The sequence below is a fragment of the Homo sapiens genome, chromosome 20 (assembly GCF_000001405.40).
Source record: "Homo sapiens chromosome 20, GRCh38.p14 Primary Assembly".
In the NCBI taxonomy this organism is placed as follows: Eukaryota; Metazoa; Chordata; class Mammalia; order Primates; family Hominidae; genus Homo; species Homo sapiens.
In genome coordinates, this window is record NC_000020.11 from 63,061,879 (window position 1) to 63,079,930 (window position 18,052).

Below are 18,052 nucleotides of genomic sequence, written 5' to 3' on the forward strand. Positions count from 1 at the left end.
CCTGTCCGTGTCTGTGTCCATGTCCGTGTCCTGTCCATGTCCGTGTCCTGTTTGTGTCCTGTCTGTGTCCGTGTCCTGTTTGTGTCCTGTCTGTGTTCGTGTCCTGTCCATGTCCATGTCCTGTCCGTGTCTGTGTCCATGTCCTTGTCCTGTCCATGTCTGTGTCCTGTCCATGTCTGTGTCCTGTCTGTGTTCGTGTCCTGTCCATGTCCGTGTCCTGTGTTCGTGTCCTGTCCATGTCCGTGTCCTGTCTGTGTTCGTGTCCTGTCCATGTCCGTGTCCTGTCTGTGTCCATGTCCTGTCTATGTCCGTGTCCTGTCCGTGTTCTTCTTCACCCTGATGTGGGGGAGCTCTTTCGGCCTTTCCTTTACTGCAGCCCGAAAAGGAAAAAAGAGGGAAAAGCAGGCACATTTCTTGACCAGAAAAAATAAACAAAAACAAAAGCCCCTTGTGCTCCATGGGGGAGAGCGTGAAGCCCCCGAGCGCCACTGCCCCCGGTCCCAGGAGGCTCAAAGTCCTCTCTGCTCAGAGAGCCGGGGGTGCTTGGCCCCACCCTGTCCCCCTTCCCAGCCACTTGGTATTTACATGTACAGCTGGACCCCGAGAGAATCCCCATTCTAAGCCCAACAGTACATTCTGGGGCGTTTTAAAGAAGATAAGAAAGTAGCTCAGAGGTTTGCCAGGCTGCCTCATTCCTGGGATTTTTAGTGTGAGCCTTGGAGCTGGTGGGCTTGAATGTGGGGTTCCTGCAGTTGGGTCCCCCTGACGCCCCCGGCCCTTCCCTGTCACTCCGGGGTGTAATTAGGAGTGTCCCCCAGGATTGAGGGAGTGTGGTCTCGAGCTGGTTGGACTCAAGGCTGTTCTACTTTTTTCTCCAAGTTTTGTTTATTGTGGTAAAACACACATAAAATTTTATCATCTCAGCCATTTTTAATGAACAGTTCAATGACACTAAGGACATTCCCATGGTTGTGCCATCACCACTGTCCATCTCCAGAACGCCTTTCACCTTCCCAAACCCAGGCTCTGTCCCCATTAAACAGCTCCCCACGCCTCCTCCCCCAGCCCCCGGCCTCCCCTTTCTACTTTCTGTCTCTACAAATGTGGCAGCTCTGGGACCGCGTGTGAGTGGACACCTACAGTATTGTCCTCTGCGACTGGCTGATTTCATTAGCATGTCCTCAAGCTTCATCCACGTTGTAGCCTCCGTCACAATTTCCCTCCTTTTTAAAGGCTGAATAATATTCCATTGTGTGGATAGACACATTCTGTCTATTCATTCATCTCTCAATGGATACGGTTGCTTCCATGTTTTAGCTATTATGAACAATGCTGCTGCAAACATGGGTATAAAGTGTCTCTTTGAGATCCTGCTTTCAGTTCTTTTGCGGGTGCACTCAGCCGTGGAATGGCCGGATCACATGGTCATTCTGAGTTTTGTTTTGTTTTGTTTTGTTTTTTTGTTTTTGTTTTTTTTGAGACAGAGTCTTGCTCTGTCACCCAGGCTGGAGTGCAGTGGCGCGATCTCGGCTCACTGCAACCTCCGTCTGTTGGGTTCAAGTGATTCTTCTCTGTCAGCCTCCCCAATAGCTGGGATTACAGGTGCCGGCCACCACACCTGGCTAATTTTTGTATTTTTAGTAGAGACGGGGTTTCACCATGTTGGCTGGGCTGGTCTCGTACTCTTGACCTTGGGATCCGCCTGCCTTGGCCTCCCAAAGTGCTGGGATTACAGGCATGAGCCACTGTGTCCGGCCCATTCTGAGTTTTTTGAGGGAGTGCCATCCTGTTTTCCACAGTGGAGGCACCATTTTACATCCCCCACCAGCCGTGCACGAGGGTTCCAGTTTCTCCACATCCTCACCAACATTTCTTATTTTCAGCTTCTTCTTACGGTAGCCATCCCAGCGGGTGTGAGGCGCATCGCACTGTGGTTCTGATTTGCGTTTTCCTCATGGTTAGCGATGTTGTTTCACGTGCCTATTGGCCGTGTGTGTGTCTTTTTGGAGAAACACTTAGCCATGCCCTCCATGCATTTTTGAGTTGGGATTTTTGCTCTTATTGAGTTTTAGGAGTTCTCTGTACATTTTGGATGTTCATTCCTTATCAGATATATGATTTGCGAATATTTTCTCCTGTTTTCTGGGTTGCCTTTGATTCTGCTGAGATTGTCTGTTAAGGTGAATAATTTAAAGTTTTCCTGAAGTCCAGTGTGTCTGTTTTTTCTTTTATTGCCTGTGCCTCTGGTGTCATATCCAGGGAACCGTTGTCCAATCCAGGGTCATGAAGCTTTGTGAGGCTGTTCTACTTTATTTCCAGGGAGCTGCACAACCTGGGGTCTTCTCTGGGGCCGTGGGCTCTGAGGGCCGAAGGCCACGTTCCCCGGGTGTTGGTGTGGACCTCGGCACGGCCCCCACTGACCTGCATGGGCCGAGGTCCTGCAAGAGAACGGGCTCCATTTGCGTCTGAGGGCCAGGATGCCTGCACTGGGGATCACGCTGTGCTTCGGATGGAGCCTCCAATCTCGGGGATGCCATTTTACCCTGGAGGCCATCGGGCTTCATGCCCCACGGGCATTGTATCGGCTTCCGTGTGGCCCCGAGAGCAGGGCAATCCGAGGGCAAGGCCAAGGGAGTGGTGAGCGTGGCCTGCAGGGCGGAGCCAGGCGAAGTGGGGTGGGGCTGGAGGCCGCCCGGGCTCTGGTTGGTGGGCAGAGGCAGGAAGCCACTGGTAGCTCAGCACAGCACAGGGCTGATGTCAGGGGCGGCACCCAGCCAAGACCCAGGGAGCTGGGTGCTTTCAGCTTCTCTTTGCCAGTCAGCTGCTATGAGGGCCTAAGCAGTCCCCATGGCTTCCTGCTGAGACACCTAGGTCCCCCATGACTTCCTGCTGGGACAGAGACCCCCTCTGAGAGGCAGATGCCAACCCTGAGCAGGCCCCCGAGGTTCCCTCCCATTCTCCTGGTACCAGGGCTGGGAGGGCAGGGTTCCGGCCTGTGGCACTCAGGCTGGTGATGTCAGAATACGCTGCGGGTGCCCTGGACTCCTGCTCCGGTTCCCTGAGGGGTCATGACCTTGAGTACTCATGAGAGACAGCTTCTCACACTCACTTCCGCGTGCCTTCCCCAAACGCGGAGCTGCCTCCTGGTGCAGCCTGAGGCATTTTCTCATGGTCTGTCCAGAACAGTTTCTGGGTCAGATTCAGTTTTCAGAAGCAGAAGCCACAGCATTCGTCCTCTGCTCCGTCCACACGCGGCACCCACCCCAAGGAGGCGGCACAGCCTGGCGCCAGCCACAGGGCTCAGCAGAGAGAGGGGAATTAAACAGCCACTGGCTGGGAAAGGACGTTTCAAGGGCGTACCACGCGGCCAATTCAATGGAAAACCAAACTGCAAGCGGGAATGTGCATCAGAACCAGCCCGGAGCCAGCAGGCGTTGCTGGAGCAGGGTGGTGGGAGGTGGCGTTCCAGGCCTGGTTGCACTCCGGTTTGTCCTTCAGGTGCGTGAGGCCGCCTCTGCCATGGCTCTAGGCACGTCCCTGCCAGTGGGGGCTCCAGCATAATCCCTCGTCCTGCAGACACAGCACCCCCCACCCCCCGCAGGAAGTGCTGCATCCGGCTGCCTGGGCCGTGGTGCCCCTGGGGTCAGGGACGTGGCAGGTGCGGAGGCCGTGCTCGGTGCCAGGCTCTGAGAGGTGACATTGCCTCACCTGGGTCGAGCTCCAGCCACCGAGGACGATGGAATGACTGGGGTGTCTTCCGGGAGCCGTTTGATTGTCTCTGGAGAATCAGCCGAGGCTGGTGCCGCCTTGGAGCAAAAACAGGGGAAATGAGACTCCACACCTTCTGCCAAGACTTTAATTCTCTTCCAAGCTTCAGAACTGAAATAATTTTAGAAGTCATTGTTCATCAGCTGGCTCTGTTTTCCACAGCTTAAAAATGTCCTGAATGGTTGTGGAGTCAGGGTGCTAAAATAACAACGCAAACCGGGAGGAGGCCGGGATGCAGACAGAAAGAGAGGACCCGGCCTGAACCAAGCACTGGCCACGGAGGCTCGTGGCAGCGCTGAGGGGAGGACGGTAGCCTCCTGCCTGTGGCTGCCGGGGCTCACATCTGAGCGCCACTGGCTTACCAGGACTCCGACTGGGCTTGCCAGGCAGCGGCCCTTGGGAACCGGGGACGTCCAGGCAGCCAAGGCCTTGCTCTCAGCCATGCATGCCACTGGCCTTCAACAGGCTTTCCTTAGGTCGGCATTTTAAACAAACCCCAGGGTGGGTCCTGGTGAGGATGCTCTGTTCTCTGTGCTGTCCTCTAACTGCAGGGACGCTGGGTCCGCAGCTTCCATGGGCTGGGCGGCTCTGGTTTGGGCCGGGGTGGATCCTGGCTGTGCATTCGTGGACATCAGCTTCTCTAGGGTTTGGGATGGGGGATGGTTTATCTCAAACCCCCAACCCCTCACTGGACCTCAGGCCTGCTGCAAAGCAGAGGCTAGGGTTGGCTTTAACTCGCTGCCCCATGCAGGCTGCGGACACTCCAGGAGATGCTCTGTTTTCCCGCCCAGCAGTCACCATCACGGAGATGGAGGCCTGAGGTGCGGTCTTTTCCCCCTGCTTCTCTTCCTCTTGTGGGAATCACTGCAAATGAGACCACAGCAGCCTGGGCCTTGCCAGCAGCAAATGCTCAGTGGTAGAGCCAGGCGGCCCTCTTCTCCTGAAAGCCTTGTCCTGGGTCAGGCCCGGGAAGAAAGGATGGGGACAGGAAAGGACGAGGCTGCGGCTGCCGTCCCCCAGGGCAGCCACGCCTGGGCAGCCCCCGGACAGAGCCTGTTTCAGCCCTCAGACTTCACGGGGCAAGATCACAGCCCTCTCACCTGGCTTCATATGGCAGTGCCACAGAGGCCCCTCCCTGACTGCTCCAGGCTCTCCCTGACCCCTCCCTGACCTCTCTAGGGATCTCGTGGGGACCCACAGGCCATACGACATTCTGAGGGCCTGGAACGGTGACTTCCCTGACACTTTTCTGTTATTTTAAGTAAAATAATACATGCTCACCACCAAGGCCATTTCTGGTTGAATTTTTTTGGCTCAGATTAGATAATGCTAAATTTTATGCTAATTTAAAGTGTCAAACAAGAGGCCAAGCCGCGGTTCTCCGTGGTCCCCTGCTGCACCAGGTTATGTAACCGTGTTTCTCCTGCTCGTTTGCCTGGCGCCGCCCAGGCCCGTGTCTTTTCTATTTTGGGTGTAGACGGAGGTCCTTCTGTCTGAGCTTTGGAGCACAAGGGTCTGGGCGTCCTTCAGTTAGGGGAAGGGCTTTGATCCCTGAGTGCCTGCGACCTTGTGGGGACAGCGTGATCATGAAATATGGAATTCAAAGGTTCCCAGGTTTGAGATGTTGACACGTGAGTACTTTGCCTTCACCAGTCCTGGAAAGACCTGGTGGGGGAAGAGGACAATGACAAAGTTGCTGTGTGGATGGGCGGCGCGTGCAGAAGGCAGGGCCTCGGGCTGCAGGGGGATGTGCCCCTGTCTGCCTCCTGCCTCGAGTGGTCAGGCCGGTGCTGGGACATACCCACTTGCCCCACCCCAACCCGGAAGGACAGTCCTTGTGCCGGGCCCTTCCCACGGGAGCATCTGTGGGATGCAGAGCCTGCCAGCACCGGCATGTCCACCTGGGGCCACTCAGCGTTTTGTTTTTGATGTCAAGGTGAATGCCCCTGTGTAGGTTCAGCAAAATGAAGGACTGTATATTAAGTGTGTTACACACACATGAATGAATGCCTGGACTTGTAGAATGAGGAAACTCACCAAGCACCTACAAGGACCTGGAGAAAGAGAGAAAGAGGTGGGAGGGAGGAGGGGTGGGCCGAGACCTCAGCCCGTGGAGCTCATGGTGGGTGAGGGGAGGAGAGATGCTTAGGAGAACAAAAGCCAGCCTGGCTGGTGGTGAGGTCACGGCCAGGGGAGCACCCAGTAGAAGGGGACAGCAGCTATAAACACTGAGGACCAGGAAGGGCTCCCTGCAAAGGGGCAGTGTGGCCAGGACTGGAGGGAGGCAGGGGCGTCGAGACCCGCGGGGGCGTCGAGACCCCCGTGTGCCTGAGCACGGCCTATGCCTGCCCTGTGGCTACGATGAGAAACATCCCACGTGGGCTGCCAGTGGACGAATTGCCAGCACCTGCCATCTCCTGACATCACTCTCCTTCGAGGCTCACTCTTCTTCACTCAGAGTTGCTCACGGATTCGCCTGTTCCCTCATTCACTCATTGGTTCAGCCACCAAATTACTCATTCATTCATTCATTCACTCACTTATTCATGCGTTGAACACCTGGCTGACGTTTTGGGGAGCAGGGTTGGGATGTGCAGCACCCCACAGCGCTTTGTGGAGCTCTGATGGCCTCACACTCCTTGACCACCAAGCACCAGCCCCTGGGCCGCGAGCCAGCCAGGCTGTTGCCGTGTGTGAGACCCAGAGGCAGAGGTGGGAGCTGGGCCCCACGCTGAATTCATGGGCTTTTGTCTGCCTCTGCCCACCTGTGTCTGTTTATTCACCCGTCCCCTCCCTGCACCCCAGTCCCCACCCCCACAGCAGCAAAGGCAGCCCCAGTATTGACACCCAGCAGTGGGGCCTGCACCCCAGTCCGCACCCCCACAGCAGCAAAGGCAGCCCCAGCATTGACACCCAGCAGTGGGGCCTGCACCCCAGTCCCCACCCCCACAGCAGCAAAGGCAGCCCCGGCATTGACACCCAGCAGTGGGGCCTGCACCCCAGTCCCCACCCCCACAGCAGCAAAGGCAGCCCCGGCATTGACACCCAGCAGTGGGGCCTGCACCCCAGTCCCCACCCCCACAGCAGCAAAGTCAGCCCCAGCATTGACACCCAGCAGTGGGGGCCGAACAGACCCCAGACAAGGAGGGGCCACCAGGAAGCCTCTGCCAACAACAGCCCCACTAGGCCTCCCGCTTCCTGTCTGCCCTGCCAGCCCTGGTCAGGATAGCATTGAGGGTGAGGGCATCGGGGGCCATGGCCAGGATGGGAGGAGGCAGCGCTGCCACCCACCACCCCCGGCTCTGGGGAGCTGGACTCGGTGCCCATCCCACTGAAACCATCTGCTGTCCTGGAGCCCAGAGATGCCCGGGCCTGCCGAGGTGGGCAGCAAGAAGGTGCGATGAGGTGTTTCTACAGAAATAGCAGGCTGGCCATCCCACAGACAGCACAAGGACCTTCCCCCTTTCCTCCCAGAGAGGAATCTGCATGTCTCCTCCCTCCCAGAGAAAACAGGAGCTCCTTGTCCAAGTCATTCAGGGATTTTCCAAGGGAGAGGGAGTTTTTTTATTGTTTGTTTGTTTGTTTTCAGAGTCTTGCTGTGTCACTGAGGCTGGAGTGGAGTGCAACGGCATGATCTTGGCTCACTGCAACCTCTGCCTCCCTGGTTCAAGTGATTTTTCTGCTCAGCCTCCTGAGTAGCTGGGATTACAGGTGCACACCACCACGCCCAGCTAATTTTTGTATTTTTAGTAGAGATAGGGTTTTGCCATATTGGCCAATCTGGTCTCGAACTCCTGACCTCAGGTGATCAGCTTGCCTTGGCCTCCCAAAGTGCTGGGATTACAGGCGTGAGCCACCGTGCCTGGCCGGGAGGGAGTTTTTAAAGAGGTCAGACCTCTTCCTGATTTTGGGGTGCAGAGCCAGCACCATCCAAGGAGATGCTGCGGGGTTGGGAGGGAGGACCGGGTCCATGCTCCCCAGTGGAGGTGCCGGCTCTGGGAGACACAGGGCCCCTCGCCCTGCATGCATGCACATGCGGCTTCTCAGGGCAGCTGGACTTGCTCTGTTCATGAGCTCTTGGCCTTCTGAAACTGCTAGTTAGAGGCCAGTTAGAATGCTTGGCCTAGAGAGGCCCCTGTTCCCCCATCGGAGCTGAGCTGCCATCTCTCATCAGAGGCTCGTGTCAGAAAGCCCTGGTGGAGGAAAGCCAACACTTGGGAAGCACAGGGAGGCAGGCTGGACCCGGCGTCCTTGCGGGCTGTTGGCAACACCGTCTGGAGAGGGACCGGGCCCTGTGCCCGCCAGTCCCCAGGGCGGGGCGGCCTGAGCTGGCCTGGTCTGCTGTCCTTGGGATCAGGCCAGGACTCAGCTCTGTGCCTGGGGGCCCTCTCCAAGGTGCTGACGACACCATGTTCCAGCCTTCACTCCTGCCAGCCTGGGAGACCTTCGAGCGGCTTTAACAAACCCCATCGCAACTGGGCTTGCCTTGAACACAGCCCTGGACAATGGCTCTGTCTGGGTGTCTTTGGGAATACACGTCTTTTTACTAACTTCAGTCAGACCTTCAGCCTTCCTTGATCCAGCCTCTCTGTTCTTCCCCTGCTCCTCCTCCCCACCCCACCCTCCCTCCCACAGCAATTCCCCAAAGGAGCAGAGGCAGAGGGAGAGCCTTCCTCTGCTTGTCCCTTGAGAAGAGGATGTGGAAACGTCAGAGATTCTCCTGAGAGTTGCAGGCAGGCAGGGAGGACAGACGTACTTGGGACACTTCCTGCTGTGATTCCAAACTCTGCTGACCCAAGGAGGAGGTCTGCATGCCCTGCGCTGTTGACTGTGTGACACTGTGTTTATGCTGAAATATGGAGTCCCAGGAGGCTGGGCCATTTCCCTCTGTTTCTTTTCTTTTCTTTTTCTTTCTTTCTTTCTTTTTTTTTTTTTTTAACACAGGGTCTCACTATATTGCCCAGGCTGGTCTTGAACTCCCGGGCTCAAGTGATCCTCCTGCCTCGGCCTCCCACAGTGTTGGATTACACGTGTCAGCCAATACGCCTGGCCCCTATTTCCTTTCCCACTTAATGAAACAAAATATTTAGCTGGATAACAATTATTTCACTTTCTGAAGTCAACACGAGTCTATTTGCAAATACCTAGAATTCATTCTAGTAGCAGGAGGCAAAACTACGAGCCTGTGTTGGTCAGCGTGGCTCTGCTGCTCGGCTTTTCATGCCACATTAGATGGGCATCTGCCCAGTACTGTGTCCCCCTTTGCCCAGCATTCAGCCCTTGTCATTGAGAGGGGACAGATGCAGGTGGAGGATGAGAGCAGGCTGCCAGAGCTGAGTGTGGGCAGGGGTGGAGGCAACCTGAAGTAGACACTCTGCTGGGTGCTCAAGCTGCCAAACCCTGCTGGTAAAACAGAGATGCCTAAAGGATTTGGAGCCAGACAGGGAGGCTGAGTGGGGGGAAACAGCCCAGCATGGTGGGCTAGGTCATGGGCCCTGGACAACTCGTGTCTGGTGGAGTGCTGACTCTGCAGTGAGGGTGTGACCTTGGGGAGCTGAGAAGATTGAAGAGCTCATTTTTGAACCCTCATTCCTTTCTTGGTTTCCTCATCTGTAAAGGGGTCATGTTACTAGGGTCTCATGTAAACTCTGGCCCCTTGGTCAGCACTCAGCTTCACAGGTGTTGCCTCGGTCCCCAGCTCTCAGGTGCCCGGGCTGGTGAGAGGGCACTGCGCCAGGCGCAGCAGCTCTGCAAAGGTGGTGACCCAGGACACCTACCCTTCTCTGCAGCTCAGCCCGTGAATTTGCACCACAAATTTCAATGAAGTCATCTTAAGAAGATCTCACTTTGTTCCTTCTTCCAGAGGCGGGTGGGTGGGAGGCCCAGCTCCCCTTTCAGAGAGGACCTTCCTCACATGCTACCCTGTCCAGCCCCACGCCGTTTTCGGTGACAGGGGCCTGGACAGATCCCTGGTTCAGAGCCCACCCCACTGGAAGTACAGGAGACTGAGTCAGAGGCCAGTCAGGCCGGATGAGATCAACAGTGATTTGCCTCCAAGCCCTGATTCCTCCCTGAGGAATGCTCCTGAGAAAACGCTGGCTCCCACTCACAGCTGGAGCTTCAAAGGTTGGTCTAGCACTGACCGTGTGGACCCACGTGCTTCTGTCTGGAAAAGCCCCACAAGCCCCGCCCCATAAGACCCCGCCCCTCTTAGCTCCGCCCACAAGGCCACTTCCCAGCTCCGCCCATCTCGCGTCTGTACCCTACAGGCTCTGCCTGGTTCCACCCCACCGCTTCTGCCACCCACTCTAAGGACCCGCTCCTCCCCGCCCCCGCCCCCAAAGCCGCTCCTCTCACGGCCCCCGACCCCGCAGGCACCGACTGTTCTCAGCCCCGCCCCTCGAGGCCCCGCCCCGCGGCTTCCCGCCGGGGATTGCGGCTGCGCCTCTGACCCTCCGCTCCGGGCTCCGGGCTCAGGTCCCACACCTGCCCGCGCCCCCAGGCCCCGCCGTCCCCCAGAGCCTGCAGCGGGCGCCGCGCAGGCCGCCGGGCTCCTCCGGGTGGGCCGGGCTCGGGCTTTTGGAGCCGCGCGCCCACCGACCCCTCCCACGGGCGGCGGGGGGAGAGCCCACCCAGAGGCGCAGCGGGGCCGGTGGTGTTTCCCGCCCTCCCAGGGGGCCGCGGGTCCGGGGGCAGCAGCGGGGCGCGGGGCGGAGGGAGGCCCGGCGGGAACGGGCGCCCCCTTTGCACCCACAGCCGTGGAACGCCGAGGTCTCAGCTCCCCTACGGCGCGCGCCCCGAGACCCCGCAAGGGCAGTGCTGGGGACGCGGGGCCGAGACTCGAGGACGCCCGAGGCCGGGACGGGGTGTGGGGGCGTCCCCCAGGCTCCCGGGTCCCAGTGCAGGGGCTCGCGGTCAGGAGGTTAGGTGGATGAGTGAAGGGGAAAAGCGCGGTTCTAGCTGCCTGCTCAGGCTTGGGGCGATGTGAACGTCGGGGTTTGCCCCTCGACCCCCCACCAGAACGCAGATACTTCTCAGCAAAGAGGAGCTTGGGGCAGCCCACTCCCCACAGAGGAAGGGAGGGGCCCGCTCCACGGAGGACCTGGGGGGCTGGAGGAACAGGCACCCCCATGCCAGGCAGGACCCGAGGGATCGGTACAGGGCACGGGGAGAGGGGCCTGGGGGAAGCTGTTGACCCCGTGATCCTTTTTACAAACTTGTAAATCAGAGAGAAATTAATTCAGATGCTGCAATTTTTTCTGATAAACCTCGAAACATGTAAATATCAAACCCTCTTCCTTCAGTCACTAAAACAAATGGAAAACACATTTATTAGCATAGAGATGAGTTTAATCAAATCAGCCTGAGTGCAAATTAGCCACAGGAAATGCAATGAGCTGGGAATTAATTAGCAGCGTAATGATGATAAGGTGGCCTGCTGACTGCCTGGAGGCCGCCTCTCCCCACGGTTGCCGGGCTCCTGGCAGCTCAGCTTTTCCTTTGCAAGAGGCCCTGAGCGGGGACCACTGGACAGCCCCCTGGACCCCTTGGAGAGCTGCAGAGGAGAGGCTTCAGGGGGATGCCTCCCTTGGGGGGCAGGTCTGTGTGTTCTAGGGGAGCCCAGCCTACCCTCCCCCGGGGTGCTCGTGGCTTCCTCTCTAGGAGGCCAGGGATGGGGAATGAGGCCTTGGGATGGTTTGAGGCCTTCGGGAGCCCAGGAGAGGGCCTGGCCCCAGGGCAGTCCGGCCCAGAGGGGGCTGCCTGCTCTGAAGGAGGGGCTTCCCAATGTAGAGGTCCCAGTGGCCCTGGGTCCCAGCTGGGGGTGGACTTTGGTGACAGGCAGCCCCCACCTGAACTGGAGGAGCCTCATCGAGGGTCCTAAATGATACTACAGATGAGACGTGCATTTCAAATCTGAGGGCAAGGCTGGGACCCTGGGCCCTGGCACGTGGGACTCTGGAATCCACCTGAGTGCCCATTCCTGCAGGAATTCCTGAGATTGCTTGGCACCTTGCGGGTTGTGGCTGGTACTGAGGTGAGCGGTTGAAATGTCCCCCAGGACTGGTCAGCTGCCCTCCCAGTTGGGCTGGGTGCCCAAGTGTTCACAGGGCTCTTGGGAGGACCTGGGTGGCCTTGTGCACCCTGGGGGCTGTTGGTCTAAGGGTGCAGGGGCTCCCTGGAGGTCGGGAGCTCTCCCTGGGGCCAGCTGCAGCCCTGCGATGTGCCCTCCCCTCCCTGCACAGGCTGGACACACAGGGACACTTCTTCCCCGGAGGCTTCTCCAGTCCCCAGGAATCTGTCCCCCACCTGTCATCAGGAAACTTCAGAAGATCAGGAATTTTTTTCTGGAGCTGCATTTTGCACAGTTTCCTCTTTTTAAGGGAGGAGGCTCGGAGTCTCCGGTCACCACAGCCGATTTCCCTGAAGCCTCCGCAGGGGGCCACCCCCACAGAGTTTTATATGCTAACAGTTCTTAAATTCGGAGTCCTGTGGGAAGGTGGGAAAGTTAGGTATATACACTTTTTAATGTTTTTGTTTTTGTTTTTTTGTTCTACTCAAAAAGTCATTGGTACCTAGGTAACACACTTAAAGAAAGGCACACTTTGTGGCTGGGCACAGTGGCTTACACCTGCAATCCCGGCATTAGGGGAGGCCGAGGCGGGCCAGTCTCGCTTGAGCCCAGGAATTTGAGACCAGACTGAGTAACATAGTGAGACCGCATCTCTACTAAGAAAAAAAAGGTTAGCCAGGCGTGGTGGTGCGCACCTGTGGACCCAGCCACTTGGGAGGCTCAGGTGGGAGGATCACTTGTACCCAGGTGGTTGAGGCTGCAGTGAGCCGTGATCAGGCCACTGATCTCCAGCCTGGGTGACAGAGTGAGACCCCGTCTCAAAATAATAACAATAAAATAAAGGCACATTTTGAGAACAGAAGATGTTTCTGAGTTTCACATGTTGCCATATCCTGTGGACAGCTTATAGTGGGACACCAGGGCAGATATTGAAGTTTGATGTAACTTGTGAATGGCTTAAAAAGTGGTAATTTCTTGGGATCAGAAAGCTGATTAAGGCAAGGCTGAGAGGAGTCAGCTTGCCTCTCTTCCACAGCGTCCACTGGGACAGTTCAACCCTATCTGCGGGACCAATCTCCAAGACGTGAGTTGGCACAGCCATCAGTTCGTCTCCATGGATGTCTCCACGGGCAACCTGAGCTCCCACGTGGCATGGTGATGGTTCTGAAAGTGGGTGTTCCAGGAGACAGGAAGTGCCAGTTCCTTAAGGCCTGGGCCTGTGGTAAAATATGCATAACACGATTTACCTTATTAGCCATTTTAAGTGGTATTGAGTCTGTTCATAATGTTGTGCGGTCATCACGACTGTCCACCTCCAGAACTCTCTTCATCTTGTAAAACTGAAACTCTGTCCGAATTAAACAACTCCCATCCCCCCTCCCTCAAGCCTCAGCACCCACCGTTCTACTTTCTGTCTATGAATTTGACTAAGTACCTCACACCAGTGGAATCGTATAGTATTCGCCTTTTTGCGACTGTCTTATTTCACTTTGTATCAAGTCCTCAAATTTCATCCACGTTGTAGCATGGGTAAATTTCCTTCCTTTTTAAAGGCGGAATAATATTCCATTGCGTGGATAGACCATATTTTGTATAGTCGTTCATCCTTCAATGGATATGGGGTTCATATTAGCTGTTATGAACAGTGCTGCTATGAACATGGGTTCACAGCATGCACATCTGCTATAGGTTATCTTTGAGACCCTGCTTTCAATTCTTTTGGGGGTGCACTCAGAAGTGGAATGGCTGGATCACGTGGTCATTCTATTTGGAGTTTTTTGAGGGAGTGCCATCCTGTTTTCCACAGTGGTGGCACCATTTTACACCCCCACCAGCCATGCACGAGGGTTCGTTTCTCCACATCCTCACCAACATTTGTTATTTTCGGTTTTTTCTCACAGTAGCCATCCCAGTGGGTGTGAGGCGCATCGCACTGTGGTTCTGATTTGCATTTTCCTCGTGGTTAGCGATGTTTCATGTGCTTATTGGCCATGTGTATGTGTTCTTTGTAGAAATGTTTATCCAAGTCCTTTGCCCATTTCTGAGTTAGGTTTTTTGTTGTTGTTGAGTTTTAGAAGTCCTCTGTATATTATGGATATTAATCCCTAATCAGATATATGATTTGCAAATATTTTCTCCCATTTTCTGGGTTGCCTTTTTTCCCTGTTAATATTGTCTTTTGGCTGGGCATATTAACTCTGCCTGTAATCCCAGCACTTTGGGAGGCCAAGGCAGGAGGATCACTTGAGGGTCAACAACCTGGGCAACATAGTGAGACCCTGTCTCTACAAAAACATAAAATAAAAAACAGCCTGGCACAGTGCTCCATGCCTGTAGTCCTAGCTTCTTGGGGGGCTGAGGCGTGAGGATCACTTGAGCCTAGGAGTTCAAGGTTGCAGTGAGCTGTAATTGTGCCACTGCACTCCAGCCTGGGCAACAGAGCGAGACCCTGGCTCTTAAAAAAAATAGTCTTTTGGTACAAAAATATTTATTTTTTACGAAGTCCAATTTGTCTGTTTTTTTCTTTTGTTGCCTGTGCCTTTGATGTTGTATCCAAGGAATCATTGCCACATCTAATATCATGAAGCTCTTGCCCTGTGTTTGTCGTAGTTCATTTGTGTGGCTATAAAGGAATACCTGAGGCTGGGTCACTTATAGAGAAGAGAGGTCTGTTTGGCTCATGGTTCTGCAAGCTGCACAGGAAGCATGGCACCAGCATCTGCTTCTGGCAAGGGCCTCAGGAAGCTTCCGCTCATGGTGAAAGGTGAAGGGGAAGCAAGGGAGCTAGTGCACAGAGATCAGACAGCGAGAGCATGGGGAGCAAGAGAGGGGAGCAGGTTCTTTTCAACAATCAGTTCTTGTGGGAACTAAGAGTGAGAACTCACTCCCCCGAGAATAGCACCAAACTGTTCATGAATGATCCGCCCCACAACCCAAATACCTTCAACCAGGCCCCACCTCCGACACTGGGGATCAGATCCCCACAGGAGGCTTGGCAGGGCCAAACCAACCAAATCCAACCACAGCAGTTTTCTTCTAAAAGTTTGTTTATGTTGAACATTTAGGCCTTTGATCCATTTTAGTTAGTTTTTGTATATCTTGTTGGGTAAGGGTCCAACATCATTCTTTTGCATGTGGATGTCCAGTTTTCTTAGAAACACTTGTTGAAAGGACTGTCCTTTCCCCATCAAATGGTCTTGGCACCATTGTAAAAAAATCATTTAACCATGTATGTGAGTGTTTATTTCTGGGCTCTCCATTCTATTTTATTTGGTCTATATGTCTGATTTTATGTCAGTACCATATTACTTTGATTACAGTAGCTTTGTAGCAAGTTTTGAAATCAGGAAGTGTGAGTTCTCCAGCTCTGTTTTTTTTTTCTTTTTCAAAGTTGCTTCGGTTATTCAGTGTTCCTTGAGATTCCATAGAAATTTTAGGATGGGTTTTTCTATTTCTGCAAAATACGTCACTGAGATTTTGATAGGGATTACATTAAATCTGTATATTGCTTTGGATAGTATTGCCATTCTCACAATATTAAGTCAATACATGAACATGGGATGTCTTTCCATTTATTTATCTCTTCTTTAATTTCTTTCAGCAATATTTTGTAGTTTTTATTGTATGTCTTTCATCTCATAGGTTAGGTTAATTCTTAGTATTTTATTCTTTTTTATGCTATTATATGTGGAATTGTTTTCTTAATTTCCTTTTCAGATTGCTTGTTAGTGTATAGAAATACAACTGATTTTTATCTGTTGACTTTCCATCTTCTTACTTTGCTGAATTCATTTATTAGTTCCTGCAGTTTTTGTGTGTGTCATATTTAGTGTATTTTACATCTGCAAACAGAGACTTTTTTTAAGTTCTTTCTTTCTAATTTGGATGTCATTTATTTTTCTTGTCTAATCACTGGATAAAACATCCAGTACTATCTCAAATAGAAGTAGTGAAAGCAGGCATCCTTCCCTTCTTCCTGATATTAGACAAAAAGCTTTCAGTATTTCACCACTGAATATGATGTTCTTTGTGGGTTTCTGATACATGTATTTCATTATGTTGACATAGTTTCATAGTTTGTTGAATGGTTTTTATCATGAAAGGATATTGGCTTTTGTCAAATGCTTCTTCTGCATCAATTAAGATGATCATGTGGTTTTTTTCCTTCATTCTGTTAATGTGTATTACATTGATTGATTTTCATATGTTGAACCATCCTTGCATTCCAGGAATAAATCCCACTTGGTCCTGGGGCATAATCCTTTTAATATACTGCTGAATTTGATTTGCTAGTATTTTATTGAGGATTTTTGCATCAGTGTTTATTAAAAATATTGGTCTGTATTTCATACCATTGTGGTCAGAGAAGTTATTTTGTATGATATCTATCTTTTTAAGATCTATTGAAATTTAATTTGTAAACTAACATAGTCTATCTTAGAAATTGTTTCATGTGCACTTAAGGATGTGTAAGCTGTTGCTGTTGGGTAGAATGTTCTGTATATGTCTGTTATATCTTGTGGGTTTATTGTGTTGTTTAACTCTTCTGTTTCCTTATTTATCTTTTGTATGATTATTCTATCTATTATAGAGAGAGGATATTGAGGTCTCTAACTGTTACTGTATTAATAGAACTGTCTATTTCTTCCTTCAACTCTGTCAGTTTTTTGCTTCATACATTTTGATTATCTGTTGTTAGGTGTATAAATGTTTATAATCATTATATCTTCTTGCTGTGTTGAACCTTCTATTAATATATGATGCCCTTGTCTTTGCTCTTCTTTGTCTCTTTTTAAATTGTAAACTCTATTTTGTCTGATATTACTATAGCTACCCCTACTCTGTTTGGTTGCTATTTGCATGGAATATCTTTTCCATCTTTTTACTTTCAATCTATTTGTGTCTTTGGATCTAGAGTGAGTCTTTTGAAGATAGCATATAGTTGGATCATATGTTTTTATTCATTCTTTCAATCTGTGTCTTTTGACTGGAGTCAAACCCATTTATACTTAAAGTAATTACTGATGAGGAAGGACTGGCTTCTGTCATTTTGCTATGTTTTCTATATGCCTTAGAGTTTTTGTCCTGCATTTCCTACATTAGTGTCTTTTGTGTTTAGTTCATATTTTAGTGAAATGTTTAAATTTCTCATTTCTTTTTGTATACAGTCTATAGCTATTTTCCTTGTGGTTACCATGGCATTACATTTAGCATATTAAATTTCTAATTTGGATTCATAGCACCTTAACTTTGATAACATACACAAACTCTGCTTCTTTATAGCTCTGTCCCTACCCTTTTCAGTTATTAATGTCACAAAATTAAATCTAAACTAATAATTCTTTTAAGTGCATTAGTCTCAAATTATGTAGAAAACAAAATGTGGAATTACAAACCAAATTTACAGTAGTGCTAGTTTTGACTAATAACTTTTTAAAAAAGTATTAGTATCTTAAATCATATAGGAAACAAAATTGCAGTTACAAACCACTGTGGCAATAATGCTAACTTTTATAATTGGCCATGTATTTGTTTTTATTGAGACCTTTATTTCTTCATACAGCTTCTAGTTACTGTCTAGTGTCCTTTATTTCATCTTGCAGGACTCCCTTTAGCATTTCTTACATGGAAGGTCTAGTGATAACAAACTCCCTCAGCTTTTGTTTATCTGGGAATGTCTTAGTTTCTCCCTCACTCTTGAAAGACAGTTTTGACAGATATAGGATTCTTGTTTGTTTGTTTTAAATTTTATTTTAGCACTTGGAATATATTGGCCCACTGTCATCTGGCCTCCAAAGTGTCTGATGAAAAACTGGCTTGCAATCTAATAGAGGATCCTTTGTATGTGACAAATTTCTTCTCTCTTGGTGCTTTCAAGATTCCAGAGTCCTCCTGGAGGTGGAGTGTGGAGGGCACATGTGGGTGCACACAGTGGGCCACCCAGACCCCTCTCAGCACAGGGGTTTGCTAGCAGCTCACAGCTGAGTCTCTTTCCCAGGGCCATCCCTCCTTAGGGTCAGCCTCCATCCCAGGACATGGAGCCCTGCCCCCTACCTCAACTGGGACAACCCTCTCCCCTGCCCTGCCCTCCAACAAAGGGTACTGCCAGAAAGAACCTCCCTATACTGGATTGAATGGTGTCCACCAAAATCGATGAGCTTCCCGGAACTTCGGAATGTGACCTTATTAGGAAATAAGGCCTTTGAAGAAATA

General features: G+C 52.0%; 8 annotated features.

The window, feature by feature from the left end:
* Nucleotides 6,286-6,792: an enhancer, noted in NCBI's record as "H3K27ac-H3K4me1 hESC enhancer chr20:61699516-61700022 (GRCh37/hg19 assembly coordinates)". NCBI's record gives its function as "activates a minimal SCP1, AML or CMV promoter by ChIP-STARR-seq in naive H9 embryonic stem cells {active_cell/tissue: H9 hESC(naive)}" and the evidence as "EXISTENCE:reporter gene assay evidence [ECO:0000049][PMID:30033119]".
* Nucleotides 7,367-7,868: an enhancer, noted in NCBI's record as "H3K4me1 hESC enhancer chr20:61700597-61701098 (GRCh37/hg19 assembly coordinates)". NCBI's record gives its function as "activates a minimal SCP1, AML or CMV promoter by ChIP-STARR-seq in primed H9 embryonic stem cells {active_cell/tissue: H9 hESC(primed)}" and the evidence as "EXISTENCE:reporter gene assay evidence [ECO:0000049][PMID:30033119]".
* Nucleotides 7,869-8,368: an enhancer, noted in NCBI's record as "H3K4me1 hESC enhancer chr20:61701099-61701598 (GRCh37/hg19 assembly coordinates)". NCBI's record gives its function as "activates a minimal SCP1, AML or CMV promoter by ChIP-STARR-seq in naive H9 embryonic stem cells {active_cell/tissue: H9 hESC(naive)}" and the evidence as "EXISTENCE:reporter gene assay evidence [ECO:0000049][PMID:30033119]".
* Nucleotides 8,050-8,221: a silencer, noted in NCBI's record as "fragment chr20:61701280-61701451 (GRCh37/hg19 assembly coordinates)". NCBI's record gives its function as "represses an EF-1alpha promoter that drives an FKBP-Casp9 reporter gene in an ReSE screen in phorbol 12-myristate 13-acetate-treated (for megakaryocytic differentiation) K562 erythroleukemia cells {active_cell/tissue: K562(+PMA)}" and the evidence as "EXISTENCE:reporter gene assay evidence [ECO:0000049][PMID:32094911]".
* Nucleotides 8,066-8,266: a silencer, noted in NCBI's record as "peak4305 fragment used in MPRA reporter construct". NCBI's record gives its function as "represses an SCP1 promoter by STARR-seq MPRAs in K562 erythroleukemia cells {active_cell/tissue: K562}" and the evidence as "EXISTENCE:reporter gene assay evidence [ECO:0000049][PMID:32103011]".
* Nucleotides 9,858-9,947: an enhancer, noted in NCBI's record as "active region_18224". NCBI's record gives its function as "activates an Ori minimal core promoter by ATAC-STARR-seq in GM12878 lymphoblastoid cells {active_cell/tissue: GM12878}" and the evidence as "EXISTENCE:reporter gene assay evidence [ECO:0000049][PMID:35858748]".
* Nucleotides 9,958-10,027: a silencer, noted in NCBI's record as "silent region_13145". NCBI's record gives its function as "represses an Ori minimal core promoter by ATAC-STARR-seq in GM12878 lymphoblastoid cells {active_cell/tissue: GM12878}" and the evidence as "EXISTENCE:reporter gene assay evidence [ECO:0000049][PMID:35858748]".
* Nucleotides 10,891-11,390: an enhancer, noted in NCBI's record as "H3K4me1 hESC enhancer chr20:61704121-61704620 (GRCh37/hg19 assembly coordinates)". NCBI's record gives its function as "activates a minimal SCP1, AML or CMV promoter by ChIP-STARR-seq in primed H9 embryonic stem cells {active_cell/tissue: H9 hESC(primed)}" and the evidence as "EXISTENCE:reporter gene assay evidence [ECO:0000049][PMID:30033119]".